The sequence below is a fragment of the Homo sapiens genome, chromosome 3 (genome assembly GCF_000001405.40).
Source record: "Homo sapiens chromosome 3, GRCh38.p14 Primary Assembly".
In the NCBI taxonomy this organism is placed as follows: Eukaryota; Metazoa; Chordata; class Mammalia; order Primates; family Hominidae; genus Homo; species Homo sapiens.
Window position 1 is genome coordinate 132,457,074 of NC_000003.12, and position 19,009 is coordinate 132,476,082.

Consider the following 19,009-nt stretch of genomic DNA (forward strand, 5'->3'; position numbering starts at 1 on the left):
TTTTAGTTAACCCTAAAAAATATTTTCCCTCTCAAAGAAAAAACTATTATGAAGACTGATAAATTTCAGAGGTGGAATTTAAAATACGTCATTGTTCCAGTAGTGCAATGGAAAGTTAATATGATCTATTTCAATAATATAACAATTTAAAATGTTCTGGTATTGCTAGTATATGCTTGTTTTTTGTTCCAAAAGGTTTCGCGAGCGTCTAGGGGTGAAGGTAGTAAAAGCACTCAAAAGAAGCAACAACGGAATAATCCATGCAGCAGTTGATATGCTTTGTGCCCTTATGTGTGTAAGTAGTAGTTTTCTTAAGGAAACTGGTTTTTCTTAAGTTGACTGGTGGTTTTGATTTCCACAGTCCCAGATTTTCATTGTACCAATAAGTTCTTGTTTCTGTTTCATAAATTGTTCTCATAGTTACTCAAACCTTTGTTTAGCATATCCTAAATACCAGGCAATGTGCTGTGTGCCAGAAATTCAAAGATCTTAAGACAGAAGTTCTTTTCTTCCTCACTTTGTTGACAGTCTGGTAAGGTAGGCATATCTGTACAAGGTAAGGTAGTAGGGGCCATAGGATCTTGAAAAGCAGCACTTTATTTTTGTTTGGTGATGAGGGGAAGATGAAAGATTCTCACCCAGTCTTTCTGGAAGATGTTACATTTGATCTGAATCTTGAAGGACAGGCAGGAATTTTCTAGCTCTGGAAAGGCCTTCCTGGGTGGGGAATAGCATATAAAAAGGCATGTTTGGAAAGCAACAAATAATTAAATATGGTTGGGTTATAAGGTATGGATGGGGGGTAATTAGGAGTTGCAGCTAGAGATGTATGCAGACAGTAATAAAAAACCTTCTGTATCAGGAGGGAGGAGCTAGATTTTTATCTTTTTGTAAGGAACACCTGAAGGATTTTTTTTAGCAAGAGAGCAGTAATGTGATCAGGTTTGAGTTTTTAAAAACCCACACTGGTAGTATGTGGAGAATAGAAGTAAAATTAGAGGCAGGTAGACCAAATTGTCACGTAAGAAATGAGTTGCTGAGCTAGGGTAGTCACAGGGCTAAAGAAGCAGCACACCTGAAAGCTGTTTGCGCAGTAAAGATCTAACTTAGTGGCAGCTTGTACAGAGGGAGAAACAATTGTTTAGTACAGTTTTGAAGTTTCTGATTATCTCAGTTTTGTGTGTAGTACCTGGGACTTTTCCTTATATAAAGTGTTTTAGGCAAGCTTAGTCGTACATAAACATAAGTAAATACTTCTGTAAAACCTTGCATTCCCAAAAGCAAATTAATTTTATTTACTGTTCCAAACAAGTAGTGAGATAACTAGAACTTAACAATGATATGGAGAGTTGCTTTATTCGAACAAAAGATGTTCCTATTACCCAGGAAATTCTAATGGTAGAGAGCTTTGTGTCAGGCTCCCCTATCAGGAAATTGCAAAGTTCTTAGGAGCTCTGTGTCAGGAACCAGGGTAAAAGACTGTTGCAACAAAAGATTCTGCTAGTGCCCCTGTCTGCAAGGGTTTTAGGTGCTCTATGTCAGGAGCCAAGGATGGAGACCAATGTATATATTTTTTAATATTTCATGTATTCTCCCTGCTCAGAATTCTTTCCCTGCTTATTCATTAAGAGCTCAAGTCAGCTTTTAAATGAAGCTTACCAAATATACACACCTACTATGTACCCACAACAATTAAAATAAAATTTTAAAAATAAATGGAGCTTTCTTATTCCTGAAGGTGGTAGTGATGTATCCCTCCCTGAAGTGAGATTACCCTTCATAAATATTACACTTGTCTTTCTTAGCAATTTCTTCTTTGAATTATTGCTATTTCTAAACATGATGTATTTTTCTCAATCTGTCAGCTTCCTGAGGATAATATTCATGTTTAATTTTAATTTTTATCCTTAACAGGCCTTGTCAAGCTGTTTAATAAATAATGATTAATTTTTTTCTGTGTTTCAGGTACTATTCTATGAATTTTTCATATATTATTCAGTCTTCCAATGAACTTTAGAAGTTATTACTGTTATATCTATTTTGTAGAGAAGGACTTAAGGCCCAAGTAACTTGTTCAAGGTCATGTAGCTAGTAAATGGCAGAGGAGGCTTCAAGCCCACTTTCTGGCTCCAAAGTTTATACAATTAACCATAGTAACATACAGTATTTGCTAAATGAGCAGAAACAAAAAGGAAGGAAATTCTGACACGTTTTGCAACATGGATGAACCTTGAGAACATGATGCTAGTGAAAGAAGTCAGTCACAAAAGGATAAATATTGTATGATTTTAATTATATGAGGTCAAATTCACAGAAAGTAGAATGGTGGTTGCCAGGGGCTTGGGAGGAAGGCAGAATGGGGAATTATTGTTTAATGATTACAGAGTTTCAGTTTGGGAAAATGAAAAAAGTTCTAGCGATGGGTGGTGGTGATGGTTGCCCAACAATGTGAATGCTTAATGCCACTGAACAGTGTAATTTAAAATGGTTAAGATGGTAACTTTTGTTATATGTAGTTTACCACAATAAAAAAAAGTAAGAAACAATGCTATGAAACAAACATTGAGCCCTCATTACATATTAGGTGTTGGCTTTGTATCTTACATGAATTATCTCATCTAAGCATCATAGTAATGTTACATAAATACTATTACTCCTACTTTACAGCTGAGGAAAATGAAACTTAGAGACTTATGTAAAGTAACTTACCTTGCGTAACGTCTCCCAGTTATTGTCAGTAGTAAAATTAGGATTGGAGCTCTACTCCTAACCATCACGCTGGAATGTTTTATACACTCAAAAGAAAATCACCCTGAGACAAGTATTTGTTGTTAATTTTAGTACATTTAAATGCTAAGTTTTATTTCAAATTTTAGTTATAAAATTCTGGGTGGGCAAATGTTTGCCTTTTAATAAGATCTGTGACTTTTGAGAGAGTACCTTTTGTATATGTTGAGTTAATTGTTGGGCAAATTATCTGTGAAGTCTGATCAAAATCATGGTAAATCGTCACTTCTGCCTGCTTATCACGAGTTTCCTTTTTGCCTTACACTTTAAAGGCAATGGTTTTTAATTCTTTCAATGTGTAATGAATACTGTTTATAAATGACTTTTGCGTGATGCTAGCACATGGGACTGCTTATGAATTATCACTGTTTTTTTTTTTTCATCAATAGCCCATGCATGATGACTATGACTTAAGACAAGAACAGTTGAACAAAGCTTCTCTTCTCTCGTCAAAGAAGTTTCTGGAAAACTTACTGGAGAAATTTAATTCCCATGTGGTAAGTTATAATTAAATTTGTCTTCATGGTAGATACCATACCATTATTGAAAGATATTCTAGAAGTGCCACGTGGATGATTTTTTTTTTTTTTATTGTAGCCCCCAGCTTTGGTCAGTATTGGTCACAGTTCAGCTTGGTCACTGATAATAAAATATTTTGTCTTAGGACTATATCCATTCACCTGGGAAGGATAGATGTCAAAGCCTTTAGATTTTCACAGGGATACTCCAAATTTTTGTTTTTTCTTTCTTTAAAAATATCATTAGGAAATAAACTGCTCTAAAAAAAATTAAGCCAAATCTTTGTTCCTCAGTCCCTGATAACAATTTTGGAGATGGGCATTCTATAGCATCTTGAAGGAACATAAGCAGATTGCCAGAGTTTTGCAAATATTGTCAAATATTATTTTTTGCAAATATTAACCTTTGTTATACACATTTGAGAAGTCTTGGTTATACTCTTGAAATTTGAATTTTAATTGTTCCTTTTGAGGTATGATGGATAATGGATTCACTATATGAGCAAAAGCAAGTACTAAAGAGTCATCCAACTTTGAACCTCATGTTGAGAAATTAAAGTCAATGTTGATGTCTGACATATAGAATAACAGAAAGGAACACATTATTGTTAAAATTTAACTGAAGGTCCCCATCTCTTAAGTCTTTAAGAGAATCTGTTGCATTGTTTCAGGATCATGGGACTGGTGCCCTAGTTATTAGTTCGCTCTTGGACTTCCTTACCTTTGCCCTCTGTGCTCCATATAGTGAGACAACTGAAGGGCAGCAGTTTGATATGCTCTTGGAGATGGTAGCATCCAATGGAAGAACCCTTTTTAAACTTTTTCAGGTGAGAGCTTGTATTTTTCTTGTCAGATAACAGTGAATTTAAGGGAACCGCTTTTAGGATCACTGTTTCTAAGATAACATTTGCATACTTCTATAGCAGAGGTGTCCAGTCGTTTGGCTTTCCTGGGCCACACTGAAAGAAGAGTTGTCTTGGGCCACACATAAAATACACTAACACTAACAATATCTGATGACCTAAAAGAAAAAAAAATTGCAAAAATGTTTTTAAGAAAGTTTAAGATTTGTGTTGGGCTACACTCAAAGCCATCCTGGGTTAGCTTTGAATAAATATAAGCATCCATGTAGGCTGCGGGTTGGACAAGCTTGATCTATAATATTGACGAATAAATGCACCTAGTACATTATCATATTGGTACATTTTGAGTGTACAGATTTCTTGGTGTTTCATGTAGAGTCCCATTGATGGGTGTTCACTGCTGTTTTGACACTCTGCCCATTTTCTATATCTTGCTTTTTTATTTTATTTTATTTTATTTATTTTTTGAGGTGAAGGTCTTGTTCTGTTGCCCAGACTGGAGTGCGGTGATGCAATCACAGCTCACTGCAGCCTCAGCCTCCCAGGCTCAAGTAATCTTCCCACCTCAGTTGCTGAGTAGCTGGGACCACAGGCACATGCTACCAAACCCGGCTAATTTATTTATTTGTTTTGTAGAGACGGGGTCTCCCTTTGTTGCCCAGGCTGTTCTCATGCCCCTGAGCTTAAGCGATCCTCCTGCCTCAGCCTCCCAAAGTGCTGGGATTACAAACATGACCCACCACACCTGGCCTCCATTTTAGTAGTGAAAAACTCATTTTTCTGTGGTAGGCCCAAAGTTCCCTTTTCTTTACAAATTCCCAAATGATAAAATGAGCTTTAGCAGGGCTCTTCATAAACACTGGAAAACATTTGTTATTTTATACAGTACTATAGTACTTATTAGATACATGTATGTATATATGATGTTTATATTTTTATTATTTTAGTATCATTGATATGTATCATTCAAATAATTATAATTATTCAAATAGATGCCTTCTGTTTCCTACTAATGTAAATTCTTTGTTTATGTGTCTGTATCTCTAAGGCTATATTGTAAAAATACCTAAAATATTTAACCAAACTGACTTTGAGATGTATCCTTTACTAATTTTGTGGCTTATACCTTGTGTAAAAATGTATACCCTTCTTAAGAGTAACAGCTAAATGTGTTGGAATAAAATTCTTTTTTATTTTTTGATACTTTTTCCCCCTCACTTTAAAGCATCCTTCCATGGCAATAATAAAAGGAGCTGGGTTGGTTATGAAGGCAATAATAGAGGTGAGAGAACAATTTTGAAATTTTAACCTTACTTGAATGTTGATAGGCTGTTTTAATTGAAGTTGACAATATTGCCTTTCAGTCTTTTTGGGAAATAAACATTTCTCTGGGTAAGAAAAGTAATTTTAAATCTTTATTATAAATTAGTTTTAAACTTGTTACAGAAATAATCCTCAATAATAAAAGTTTTAATTTCATAGTGAAGTTGTAGAGCAAATAAATCTGTTACTGCATTATTTGTTTATTTTACTTACTTAAAAGTTAGCATTCTATCTGTTGCTCTTTTTTGGAAGGATAATGTTGACAGTGTTGAAGTCTTGAGATACTGAGCTTGTATAGAAATCTATTGATGGAGTTAGTTCATACCAAAATGATACCAAGTAAGAAAGGCAACAAAAAGTTCTTGATAAAGCATATTTGTAATTGAGCTCTAGAGATTGGAGCATGATCTTGTCGAAGATACTGCTTCTTTAAGATAGTTGCTTTATGCTTCTATATTTTTTAAAAGGTTGTAGCTATGAATGTCTGTTGCATACTATGATGATTACAATGACATCAGTCTAAATGGCTTTTGAATTCTTGTATTTTGTTGTCATAGAAGCAATTTGAATACAATTGAAGAAAGTCTCCTTTTACCAAAAAATTCATTTATTGTGCATAAGTATAGCACACAATTAATCACAGAATTAGTATGCCCTTAAGTAGCTGTAAATATATATAGGCATTGAACTGAATGGAACATCAAAGTTTATTTGCATTTTTAGTGTGCATATACAGCCAAAGGCTAATTTTCTCCCTTTAGCTAATGGGTTCTTTGCTCAATGTTAGCTTCCAAAGTGCCCATCTTTTACAGAGCTTGCGATAGCCAAGCCTCTCCTTTTTGTTGGCAGCTATACACAGAGGGAGTGAACCTAGTTTTAATATTAAGTTTAGCAAAGCATAGTTTATGAGGTAAATTTGTCTGGAAACATCTCAACCTTATTCCAAAGGTTTAAAAATTACCTGTGCTACTACTCACCTATTTTTTTTTGGGTGATTAGAAGATGCATTTTAAAAACTTCTATTACATACTGAATGTTTTTTTCATTTAAATATGTAAAATTAGTTTTTTAAAGTTTGGATAGCTTGTCCTGGATTGCCACCTTAGGGATCATCTTACCCTTTTTCCAAAGGAAGGTGATAAAGAAATTGCTACAAAAATGCAGGAGCTTGCCCTAAGTGAAGGTGCCTTACCTCGACACTTGCATACTGCGATGTTTACAATAAGCTCAGATCAAAGGATGCTTACAAATAGGTAGGTGATTTAATTCAATTTGCTGCAATTTAACTTCCTGTCTAGAGAATTGATTCAGATGTTACATAAAACTAAATGTGTTTGTATTACACAAATAATACATTTTCTTTTGATCCACCTAGTTCTTTTCCTTTCCTTACAGAAGGATTTTGCCCAAGTGATCACTGTCCCTGCCTATGGAAAACCTGGAGGGAAACACTGTTTACTTTTTTTCCCCGACCTATTATCAGGCCCTGACACCATAGTCATGGGACCAATATGGAAAAGGGTACTTAAAAGCTTATGGAACTAGAACCACATGCTCAGGTCTTTTCTCCTTATATCCCTGTGACCATCTTGCATGCACATGACCCCATGGGAAAACCTCACATAGTTGATTTTTAAATATCTTTGGTCAAATACTCTACTTTAAAAACCACAGAAAACCTTACATATCCAGCCTAAGCTAGACTTAACCTAAATCTCTTGTAATTAAATGATTCCCTTTTTCCTGATAGTCATTCAAATATAAACACATAAATTTATTCACTTATTCCACACTACATGAATTCCAGCCCTTTTTAACCCTCTTTGTGGTTTCTAACATGTGACCCTTTCAGCTATCTTAAGCATACTATATTATGACTCATATTAGTAAAAACAGTATCATAAATAGTTTTAATTTTATTTTTTGACTTTTTAAATAATAGCATAAGTTGCTGAGTTAAACGTTTAGTTTGTTACAATACTGTACATTTTCTTTGTCATCTATGTGCAGTTATTATACATCATGGTATGCTGCCTTGCCAGGGATTTTTTTTTTACTGTTTATACTATTAGAAGAAACTACCTCCCTCACTTGTGTTAAGAACAAAACTAGTCTTAGAGGATAAAGATAATAAGGATGTTTTCCTAGTATTGTCTTATTAGCAGTGCTAGACACCATCTTTCATTAGAGACTATTGATAGCTTATTCCATTAACCCCTCCCCATGTTAAATGCTTGCTTGTTGTGTTTCTCTTCAGTATAGTTAACCAGTTAAATTCCCTACTGTGATCAATTAGTGTATTAGGGAAGCATTTTAATTTGGAGAAAATTCCAAAAGGTTAGTAATATTTGAATTACACTGTTAAAGATCTGTCAATGTATAATAGAAATATCACTCTATTTGCATTGCTTTATCTTTTACAAATTGCTGTTATAAAATGTTATCTCTTTTGTCCCTAACTAAAGCCTTTTTAGGAGTCACTGATATGATAACCTACCAAATGCCAGTGAAGGAAATTACAAGTTTAATTACTTCAATATGTTAGCTTTCAAATTGGCACAGGAATGAACAGTTTTAGTGGCGTTCACTTTCTGGTGACAAAGTATATTTTGGGTTTTGCAGTTAAATTTTGTTCTTCAGTAATGTAACATATATAAAACATATGTTTGTGGGTGGTTATTTGGATATTTCCCTCATAGGTTTCATGACCATTCTTATAGCTATGGTAATTGAATCCCCACCAAAGCACAGAAGGGTCACTGGTGGGTAAAATAGGGTTTCTACTTATGAGGAGCTTTCAGTTAAGGTGACAGGTGTTGAATGGGGATTAAAATTAGTAAATGACTAAACCATAGATTGAACTTGGATCTTAGATTTTTACTTTGAATTAAAATATACTTTTATAGCTTTTAAGTGAGATGAGTTGAATAATTTGCTATAAGTGGTTTAGGTCTTTGCCCAAACTCTAGAAGTGAAAATAATTTTCTCTCTGATCTTGCCAAAACGGTTATATTAGAACAGTTGTTGACTTCTGCTTGTTCAGAATTCCAAAAAATGCCAGGATGCCATTGTCACTATATTAGTAGGACTGGTTAAACAAATTAATTGTGTCATCAAATCTAATTGTTTTTGTTGTTTTTTTTCTTCCTTTAAGTGGGATAAAAACCTACTTTTTTCCTGTTCGGGTTTATTGAAAATGAGTGTATGTTTATTAGGAAAACATTTTAATTTTTAGAAAATTCCAAAATATTAGTAATATTTGAATTATAACTCTCCACATTAAATTTTTTAATAACTATTTTTAACATCGGAATGATTTTTTTACTGTAGCCGTATTTTTTATAATTATGTGATATTTTGTTCTTAAAAATTCCTTTCTGTTCTAGCTGAGATAAAGCAGCAAACCTTTCTCAACGTCTGCTTTTTTCAGACAGCTAAGTAGACATTTAGTGGGACTCTGGACAGCTGATAATGCAACTGCAACAAACTTGTTGAAACGCATTTTGGTAAGTCAGTTGAGAAATTAGGTTATATACTGCCTAATAAAATTTAATTGAACAAGTTATCTGTACTGTTAAAAGGGGATGGTTTGTTTTTTATTGAAAAGTTATTTATCATAGGAGTTACCGTAAAGTTTTACCCTCAATAGCTAAGCCACAGTATTAATTTATTTGGGTTTTTAAGGCTAAATTTTCTTTTTCACATTGTTTTGAAAATGGATTTTGTGTTTTTAGCCGCCAGGCTTGCTGGCATACTTGGAAAGCTCAGATCTCGTACCTGAGAAGGATGCTGATCGGATGCATGTTAGAGACAATGTGAAAATAGCAATGGTAAATATGACTGTCCCAAGTGTGCCTTTTTTAGGAGTAAGGGTACTGTTATATATATGTCTTTTTTTGAAACACGTTAAAAATTTTAGAAACAAAGAATTCATTGCATTGAATAGTATACTTAACTATTGATATCTTTATTGAGGTAAAATTTACATCCCATAATATTCATCTTTTTAAGGTATACAATTAAATAATTTGTGGTATATTTACAGAGTTGTGCAGCTATCACCACAAATTAATGTTATGAATAGTGGTCATTTTATTCTGTGTTTTGTTTCTCTAATTCAACTTATTGGTACGTTCTGGAGTACCAGTAAGTGTGTAAATATGGTATTTTGCACATATGAGATTGATAAATGTTGTTGGTAAAAACGGCCAACCATGAAAAAAGTTATAGGTAGGGTTTTTTTCCTTACAAGATCTATGTTAATTATAAGGTTGGGCCATCCATGGAAAAATTAAACATCTTTATGATACACTACTATAATAATTTCTTACGTGTATTCTTTTTCTGTCATCACTCCTTCTCTGTCTGCACCCAGCTCCCACTTGCATCTTGCCACCCCTCATAAAAGAATCATCTTGAAACCTAAGTAGAAAAGTTAGTTTCTTGGATAAAAAGTATAATTGTAGAAGTTTTCAGTTTGTTTCTTCACTGAACCATAACATCCAGCATTAACCTTATAAAATAGATAGAATGACTCAGCTTTACATAGAGTTTTAAAATAAATTTGCAAACAGGCATGTAATGGATTCCAACATTATTTTACAGGATCAGTATGGAAAATTTAATAAAGTTCCAGAGTGGCAAAGACTAGCTGGAAAAGCTGCTAAAGAAGTTGAAAAATTTGCCAAAGAAAAAGTGGATCTTGTATTGATGCACTGGAGGGATAGGATGGGCATTGCTCAAAAAGAGGTAAAAATAAAATTTGCTTCCAAATTCCTGGCACTTCTGTGTGTCCTAGTCTACTTTAGTTCCTGCTGTTCACAGAGATGGTATCGATACATTTCTTGCTGAATACCTGAAGCTTAAAAATGAATGGTACCTAATTTCTTTCTTTTTTATTTTATTTATTTATTTATTTTGAGACAGAGCCTTGCTCTGTTGCACAGGCTGGAGTGCAGTGGAGCGATCTCGTCTCACTGCAAGCTCCGCCTCCTGGGTTCACGCCATTCTCCTGCCTCAGCCTCCCGAGTAGCTGGGACTACAGGCACCCGCCACCACGCCCGGCTAATTTTTTGTATTTTTAGTAGAGATGGGGTTTCACCGTGTTAGCCAGGATGGTCTCAATCTCCTGACCTCGTGATCCGCCTGCCTCAGCCTCCCAAAGTGCTGGGATTACAGGCGTGAGCCACCGCACCCGGCCGAATGGTACCTAATTTCTAATTCATATTTTTGTATACATTTTCCTTAGTTCATAGTTTTATGAGTTGATGATTAGGTTTTTATTTTGGTATTTAATATAGAATTCCACTCTTAATTTTTCTTCCATTCCAGTTTTTGTTCTTTTTTATTCATATGTATTTATTTTCTTCCCTTCTTCTCTGGACTTTGTTTTGCACCTATAAAAATAAAGGTGCTCTTCCTGTTAGCCTTTTTATTCAGAACTAGCCAGACAAGTGTTTTGGAGATTAAGATTCACATTTTAAATTCAATTTATTGTGCGTACTTAAATTTTGTAATATTTGTTTCTCAAATCAAAGTTAGATCTAAAACAGTTTTAGTCTCATTCTTCAGCATGCAGTGTGTTCTACAGAACCTGATTCAGTAATGCATTCTTCTATCTATAATGGGTTTGGCAGTGGTTGAGTATGAATTGAGATGTCCTGTAGAAGCAATCTTGATCTCAGTTTTTGTTGATCACACATACATTGTTTCTCCTTAATCTTCTCCTTACTTATGGTAGCTATTGCCATATTCAAGGAAAATAACTTTAATATCTTTCTAAAACAAGTGGGTTTCTTATGGATTACCAGAATACGTAAGCATAGCAGAACAAATATTATAGTCTTGTGTATCTATCTGAAATTGGGATCAATGTTCAATTCTTTAGAGCTCCAGAATAATAGATTACTGCTAATTTATATAAGTGATATATTCAATATAAAGAATCATTAGGCTTTCAAGTGACTATGTAGTATAGTAAAGAGAATACTGAACTTTGAGTTGGTTAACTTCTGAGCCTAGTTTCATCACTTGTTAATCCAAGTTACGGTTTTTAGAACCTTACTTTCCTCTTTCATAAATCGGAATAACAATACCTCCCTTCTCTATCTTATAGGGTTTTTTTGATATACAAGCAAAATAATAGTAAAGGCACTATATACATATATGGTCAGGATAATACTGGTATAGCATTTGAACAGTTGAAAAATCTACAGATATGAATGATTTTCACAGTTATTAAAAATTACAAGCTCCTGGCTTCAGGTAGTTAAACCGATTTCTAAAATAACAGTTCTTTCAAGCTGTTGAATATAATTATCATACTGTAGATAAGTTTTTGGCATCAGACTTCATATGTAACATTTATCCAGCATAAGCATGAACACAAAGCTCTAGTCTTAGCTAAAACTATGGATAAAAATCTGCTATTTTAAAACAATTGAGAGGGAAAAGGATATTTTTAATATAAAAGTTTTACTGGTTTGTTGGTATCATTTACATGGGGTATTACTAAAGTTTTGAGCAAATAATGATGCCAGATAAATGTTGGTCAAGAAGATCTTTTGGTTAGCATCAATGGCTTATCCCCTTTCTGCGTGGGTACTATTTTTAACAGTAATTTCTTTAGGGAACAGCAAATAATCTTTGTGACTATTTTATTAATAGAAACACTAACATCAAAGTTTGGAATGATCTTATGCTGTAGTTAGAGTCTGAAAACTAATCATTGTCAAGATTAACTGGCGATTCTTGAAACAATCTGCATTTCTTATATAGTCAATGTTTATGAAGTCAGTTCCATTTGCAGCTGATGCTCTGTGCTGGATTAGTAGTAACCTTTGGCTAATGTATAAGGTTGCTTTTTCTTTGTTATTTTCAGTTAAGGGATTTGTTTAGCTAGTTAGAGCTGTTAGCCTGAGTCTCCAATTCAGTCACTTAGTTTATGGAGAGCTTTTTGTCCTTTTTCTGTATAGCATTTACATTTTTATTACTCTGGACTGCCAGCCTTTTGTCCTGGCGGGGAGGAGGGATTGAAGAAAGTACTTCTTAATTAGAAAGTTTAGGAAAAGATTTGTCATTAAACCAAATTTTGAATTATTTATATATTTTATTCAAGCCACTTTGCATTAGTTTTCATGATAGTGCACAGAATTAAAATTTGTAGGAAACATTTTCTTATATAACTTTTAGGGTTTATATTTGAAATAATATCTTTTAAAATTTATTTTACCTTTTTTCTTTCTATGTCGTCTAGTCTGGGGTTTTTTTGCACTTTAATGAAATTACAGACTTCCGTGTTTTAATCTATACCACTTTCTACTTTTTGTTTCTATCACAATGAGGATTAGAGTTTTCATATCTGATGTATATACATGGGTTTCATTTGGAGCAGAGATTCTTTTTTTTTTTTTTTTTTTTTTTTTTTTTAATTTATTTTTTTATTGATAATTCTTGGGTGTTTCTCACAGAGGGGGATTTGGCAGGGTCATGGGACAATAGTGGAGGGAAGGTCAGCAGATAAACAAGTGAACAAAGGTCTCTGGTTTTCCTAGGCAGAGGACCCTGCGGCCTTCCGCAGTGTTTGTGTCCCTGATTACTTGAGATTAGGGATTGGTGATGACTCTTAACGAGCATGCTGTCTTCAAGCATCTGTTTAACAAAGCACATCTTGCACCGCCCTTAATCCATTTAACCCTGAGTGGACACAGCACATGTTTCAGAGAGCACAGGGTTGGGGGTAAGGTCACAGATCAACAGGATCCCAAGGCAGAGGAATTTTTCTTAGTGCAGAACAAAATGAAAAGTCTCCCATGTCTACTTCTTTCTACACAGACACGGCAACCATCCGATTTCTCAATCTTTTCCCCACCTTTCCTGCCTTTCTATTCCACAAAGCCGCCATTGTCATCCTGGCCCGTTCTCAATGAGCTGTTGGGCACACCTCCCAGACGGGGTGGTGGCCGGGCAGAGGGGCTCCTCACTTCCCAGTAGGGGCGGCCGGGCAGAGGCGCCCCTCACCTCCCGGACGGGGCGGCTGGCCGGGCGGGGGGGCTGACCCCCCCACCTCCCTCCCGGACGGGGCGGCTGGCCGGGCGGGGGGCCGACACCCCCACCTCCCTCCCGGACGGGGCGGCTGGCCGGGCAGAGGGGCTCCTCACTTCCCAGTAGGGGCGGCCGGGCAGAGGCGCCCCTCACCTCCCAGACGGGGCGGCTGGCCGGGCGGAGGGCTGACCCCCCCACCTCCCTCCTGGACAGGGCGGCTGGCCAGGCGGGGGGCTGATCCCCCCACCTCCCTCCCGGACAGGGCGGCCGGCCGGGCGGGGGGCTGACCCCCCCACCTCCCTCCCGGACGGGGCGGCTGGCCGGGCAGAGGGGCTCCTCACTTCCCAGTAGGGGCGGCCGGGCAGAGGCGCCCCTCACCTCCCGGACGGGGCGGCTGGCCGGGCGGAGGGCTGACCCCCCCACCTCCCTCCCGGACGGGGCGGCTGGCCAGGCGGGGGGCTTACCCCCCCACCTCCCTCCCGGACGGGGCGGCTGGCCGGGTGGGGGGGCTGACCCCCCCATCTCCCTCCTGGACGGGGTGGCTGGCCCGGCTGAGGGGCTCCTCACTTCCCAGTAGGGGCGGCCGGGCAGAGGCACCCCTCACCTCCCGGACGGGGCGGCTGGCCGGGCGGGGGGCTGACCCCCCCACCTCCCTCCCGGATGGCACGGCTGGCCGGTCGGGGGGGCTGACCCCCCACCTCCCTCCCGGACGGGGCGGCTGGCCGGGCGGGGGGTTGACCCCCCCCCACCTCCCTCCCGGACGGGGTGGCTGCCGGGCGGAGATGCTCCTCACTTCCCAGATGGGGTGGCTGCCGGGCGGAGAGGCTCCTCACTTCTCAGACGGGGCAGCTGCCAGGCGGAGGGGCTCCTCACTTCTCAGACGGGGTGGTTGCCAGGCAGAGGGTCTCCTCACTTCTCAGACGGGGCGGCCGGGCAGAGACGCTCCTCACCTCCCAGATGGGGTCTCGGCCGGGCAGAGGCACTCCTCACATCCCAGATGGGGCGGCAGGGCAGAGGCGCTCCCCACATCTCAGACGATGGGCGGCCGGGCAGAGACGCTCCTCACTTCCTAGATGTGATGGCGGCTGGGAAGAGGCGCTCCTCACTTCCTAGATGGGATGGCGGCCGGGCGGAGACGCTCCTCACTTTCCAGACTGGGCAGCCAGGCAGAGGGGCTCCTCACATCCCAGACGATGGGCGGCCAGGCAGAGACGGTCATCACTTCCCAGACGGGGTGGCGGCCGGGCAGAGGCTGCAATCTCGGCACTTTGGGAGGCCAAGGCAGGCGGCTGGGAGGTGTAGGTTGTAGTGAGCCGAGATCACGCCACTGCACTCCAGCCTGGGCACCATTGAGCACTGAGTGAACGAGACTCCGTCTGCAATCCCGGCACCTCGGGAGGCTGAGGTTGGCGGGATCACTCGCGGTTAGGGGCTGGAGACCGGCCCGGCCAACACAGCGAAACCCCGTCTCCACCAAAACCAGTCAGGCGTGGCGGCGCGTGCCTGCAATGGCAGGCACTCGGCAGGCTGAGGCAGGAGAATCAGGCAGGGAGGTTGCAGTGAGCCGAGATGGCAGCAGTACAGTCCAGCTTCGGCTCCGCATGAGAGGGAGACCGTGGGGAGAGGGAGACAGAGGGAGAGGGCTGGAGCAGAGATTCTTAACCTCTGGTCCATGTACAGACTTTAAGAATTCTTGAAATCTTCTCTTCCAGTTGCAGCCTTAAGTATGTGCCTATCTCTGAAACAGGGGCCATAGCTTTCTTTGAATTCTCAAAGGGTTTATGACTGCCTAAAATTTGAGTCACAGGCTTAGAGAAGCAGGTGCACCTATTTTAGTCTTAAAGTAAAGATAATTTTGTATTGATGTGTAATAGATATAATTTAGCAGATCTAGGCTCATTCTCTTTTTATTTTCTTTAACTTTTTTTCCTTTTTACGATTAAATTCAGGACAAAAACAATATGGTGAGTGTAAGTTCCTGCTACGTGTGTGAAATGCATTAAGCTGCCTGGCATGTGGAGTCATCTTTGATATTCTCTGTTTAATAAATTCAAGTCTTAACTTCACATGTGTTTGAATGTAGACACATTTCTTCTCCATTAGCTATTTCAATTTGTACTTGCTCCTCTTGGCTTTGGTAGCACTTTAACAACCTGTAATCTTTTGCATTTATTGTTGTCCCAAGGCTTTTGTGTTAACTGCATGTAAATGTTTGAAACAAGTCACTGTTTTTGACTATTTTAAATTTTATTAATCACTGTAAACTTTAACAAAATTTGGTGTTGAAACAGCTTTAGGCTACATGGAAAATACTTGAGTAACTATAGAAATATATGCTGTCAAATTATTATATGTGATATAATTTAATATCCTGTATTTATATTCATGTTTTATAGATTTTATTTATTCCGTTAATTTTTGTTTCTGTCAAAATTTGATGAAAGAAATGTTTCTCATCACGTATAAATTGATGATCTTCTGACTAAGCCTATTTGGTAGCCCCAGATTGAGCACTATGAAGTTTTTTTCTGTTCCAGAATATAAATCAGAAGCCAGTGGTTCTTCGAAAGAGAAGACAAAGAATAAAAATAGAAGCAAATTGGGATCTCTTCTATTATAGGTAAACTTTAGGTCTCTTTTCCAATAAAGATTAAATTTAGTATTGCCATGAGAGGCATCATGACACGTTCTTCTTCCCTGAAACTGTTGCTTTATGCCACATGTATTTTTATGCCATCAAGTTCAGGAACTATAACTGTTAAGATTGGGGTGACTAGAGATGCTCCTAAAATTAAGGCTTTTCATAGAGTGATAGTCTGAGGAACTAAAATTACATTAAAGACTTTATTAAGGCTTAGAGATGCTTATTTTAAAAATACTTCATTACAGGCTTAGAAATAATTGCATACTTCCTAGATGGAAATGGAGTCTTAAAAGAGGCAGATGATAACATAAGACTTGTGAGAAGTGAGTGTCCAAGTTAGCTGATAGGAGGACCTTCCCTCCTATCAAATGTGGTAACCTCTTCCCTCTTTTTATCTACCAATCTCACCCTTACCCTGCACCCCCTTCCTGGACACACACATACACACACACAGGACAGGGAAACAGTCATTTTGGGGAGTTTGCAAAGCTTCTTTAAGATAACTCACAGTACTCACTCTGGAAACTGACATTTCAATTATACCTTGGCCAATAAAGAAAAATATGTCCTTTGAAAACTCCCCCACACTACTTTTAAAGTATACAGTATGTACATAGTATATCCTTAAGTATATGCCTTGGATTTCTCTCTCAGTTGTGTTGCGCCCCATAGAACTTCCTTGGAACTCTGAAATGAGACTTTCTAGGAGGATTGCAGACTTGAAAGTAAGCATATGTGAAACCCATTCATCCCCAGTTAGACTTGTGCCCAAATGTTTTACAATAATTACTCCAAGCATATGAGGAAGATACTTTGAAAATGCTCAGTCATAGCTTGGCAGTTTGCAGTATTCTTTCTTGGGTAGTCTGTAAAGTCCTAACATATATAGATTGTTGCTGATTCCATATGCTTTACCCAGAAGTCCAGCAGTTCTTATCTCCCCAACCTAAAGTTTTGTATCTGACAAGAGAATTGTGGTGTTTTTTTTTGTTTGTTTTTTGTTTTTTGAGATGGAGTCTCACCCTGTCGCCCAGGCTGGAGTGCAATGGCGTGATTTTGGCTCACTGCAACCTCTGCCTCCCGAGTTCAAGCGACTCTCCAGCCTCAGCCTCACAAGTAGCTTGGATTATAGGCATGTGCCACCATACCCAGCTAATTTTTTGTATTTTTAGTAGAGATGGGGTTTCACCATGTTGGCCAGGGTGATCTCGAACGCCTGACCTCATGATCCTCCTGCCTCGGCCTCCCAAAGTGCTGAGATTACAGGTGGGAGCCACTGCGCCTGGCCAGTAGAATTGTTTTCTGACTGAAATTTGTATTAGCAATAAACATTGAAGTTGAAATATCAGGTGTTTTTTTTTTTAATTCACACAGATTTGTTTCATAGTTTAGGTTCCTTTTTTTCCTCAACTTTTTATTATGAAAACTTTCAAACATACAAAAGGTAAAAGAATTTTGCAGTGAATATCTGTATACCTACCACCAAGATTCTGTCATTAATGTTTTACTCTACTTCCTTTACACAGATTTTATTTTCTTTACTTACATTTGCTAAAATCTATTCCCCCCCCCCCCTTTTTTTTTTTTTTTTTTGCTTATTATAAGGTCAGTAAGGGATATTTATAGATTTTTTAAAATGCTTAGTGCATCCTGCTATTTCCTCATTATATGTATGTCTAGGTTTGGTCAAGACCATGCCAGGTCAAACCTTATTTGGAATTTCAAAACACGAGAAGAACTGAAAGATACTCTTGAATCTGAAATGAGAGCATTTAATATTGACAGAGAACTTGGAAGTGCAAATGTGATCTCCTGGAACCACCATGAGTTTGAGGTAAAGTTTGATTTTTCCAGTATATTAATCTTAAAAAATAAAGCATGTACTATTTGGGGAGTGATTTTTTTTAAAAAAATTTGTAATTACATATCTGGTCTTTACCTTTCCCCCTTTAATGTTATGTAGGAAATACTGGAAAACTTTAATCTGTGTGTCAGACAAAAATAAAAAAATTTTGTTTAGTAACTTAGCTTTGTACCTGAGAATCATGTAAGAATTTTAATAAATTTGATTCTGTGCATTCCAAATCTATTCTTTCCTTTTTTCTTTTTTTTTCCATTTCTGGGACCTTTGAGTTCTTTTTTCATTGAAACATACCCTGTTTGCCTTGTTCCTTGTAACTTGTTTGATTTTTTTTTGTGTTAATTGATTCTGAATGTGACCATATTTTGCTGTTCTATTAAAATATTGATGTGAAGAGCAGGAGAAACAAGAAAGATGGTGGTAGTAGGTAATTTTATACGTGTGGGTGTATATATAGTTGAAGTATATTATAAACATATACAATTTAAACTATTATAGCTTTAAATTTGAACATGTGAGTGATCCTGCGGGCTTTGATCTTTAACCCAGTTGCATTTCCATATTCCATTTGGATATGCTCATTCTTTTCTTAGCAAAATGAAAAACTTGTCTTTACTTTGTTTTGGGAGTCCGTATTCTGCTAGATTTTCTCCTTTTTCACTGTCTACCACTTCTCAAGTCATCTTTACTCATTTTGCTTCATCTCGCTGACCACTAAATGTTGGCTGGCTCCAAAGTTTCAGTTCTTTGACCTCGTTCATTTTTATTCATTGCCTCAATGAAATCATTAAGTTTCATGGCTTTAAATATTTTTATTTTATTTTATTTTTTATTTTTCTGAGACACGACCTTGCTTTATTGCATAGGCTAGACTGCAGTGGTGCCATCTTTGCTCACTGCAGCCTCTGCCTCATTGGCTCAAGCAATCCTTCCACCTTCGCCTCCCCAGTAGGTGGGACCAGAGGCTTGC

At 38.0% G+C, this 19,009-nt stretch overlaps 1 protein-coding gene across 4 annotated transcripts in view, besides 1 other annotated feature; it reads left to right on the plus strand.

Annotated features, from left to right (window-relative positions):
* The window catches only part of DNAJC13 (DnaJ heat shock protein family (Hsp40) member C13), a 121,531-nt gene that overhangs the window by 39,572 nt on the left and 62,950 nt on the right, over positions 1-19,009 (plus strand). For 2 of the 4 annotated variants that reach the window (NM_001329126.2, XM_047447819.1), the window contains exons 13-23: positions 196-295; positions 3,177-3,284; positions 3,977-4,132; positions 5,394-5,450; positions 6,623-6,744; positions 8,922-8,997; positions 9,226-9,321; positions 10,097-10,240; positions 15,484-15,498; positions 16,072-16,154; positions 17,859-18,012. In NM_001329126.2, the coding sequence (NP_001316055.1) occupies positions 196-295; positions 3,177-3,284; positions 3,977-4,132; positions 5,394-5,450; positions 6,623-6,744; positions 8,922-8,997; positions 9,226-9,321; positions 10,097-10,240; positions 15,484-15,498; positions 16,072-16,154; positions 17,859-18,012 (1,111 nt within the window). The remainder of the gene's footprint in view (positions 1-195; positions 296-3,176; positions 3,285-3,976; positions 4,133-5,393; positions 5,451-6,622; positions 6,745-8,921; positions 8,998-9,225; positions 9,322-10,096; positions 10,241-15,483; positions 15,499-16,071; positions 16,155-17,858; positions 18,013-19,009) is intronic. The other 2 variants (NM_015268.4, XM_047447820.1) reach the window with 1 other exon arrangement.
* Positions 14,966-15,493: an enhancer, noted in NCBI's record as "H3K27ac-H3K4me1 hESC enhancer chr3:132190883-132191410 (GRCh37/hg19 assembly coordinates)". NCBI's record gives its function as "activates a minimal SCP1, AML or CMV promoter by ChIP-STARR-seq in naive H9 embryonic stem cells {active_cell/tissue: H9 hESC(naive)}" and the evidence as "EXISTENCE:reporter gene assay evidence [ECO:0000049][PMID:30033119]".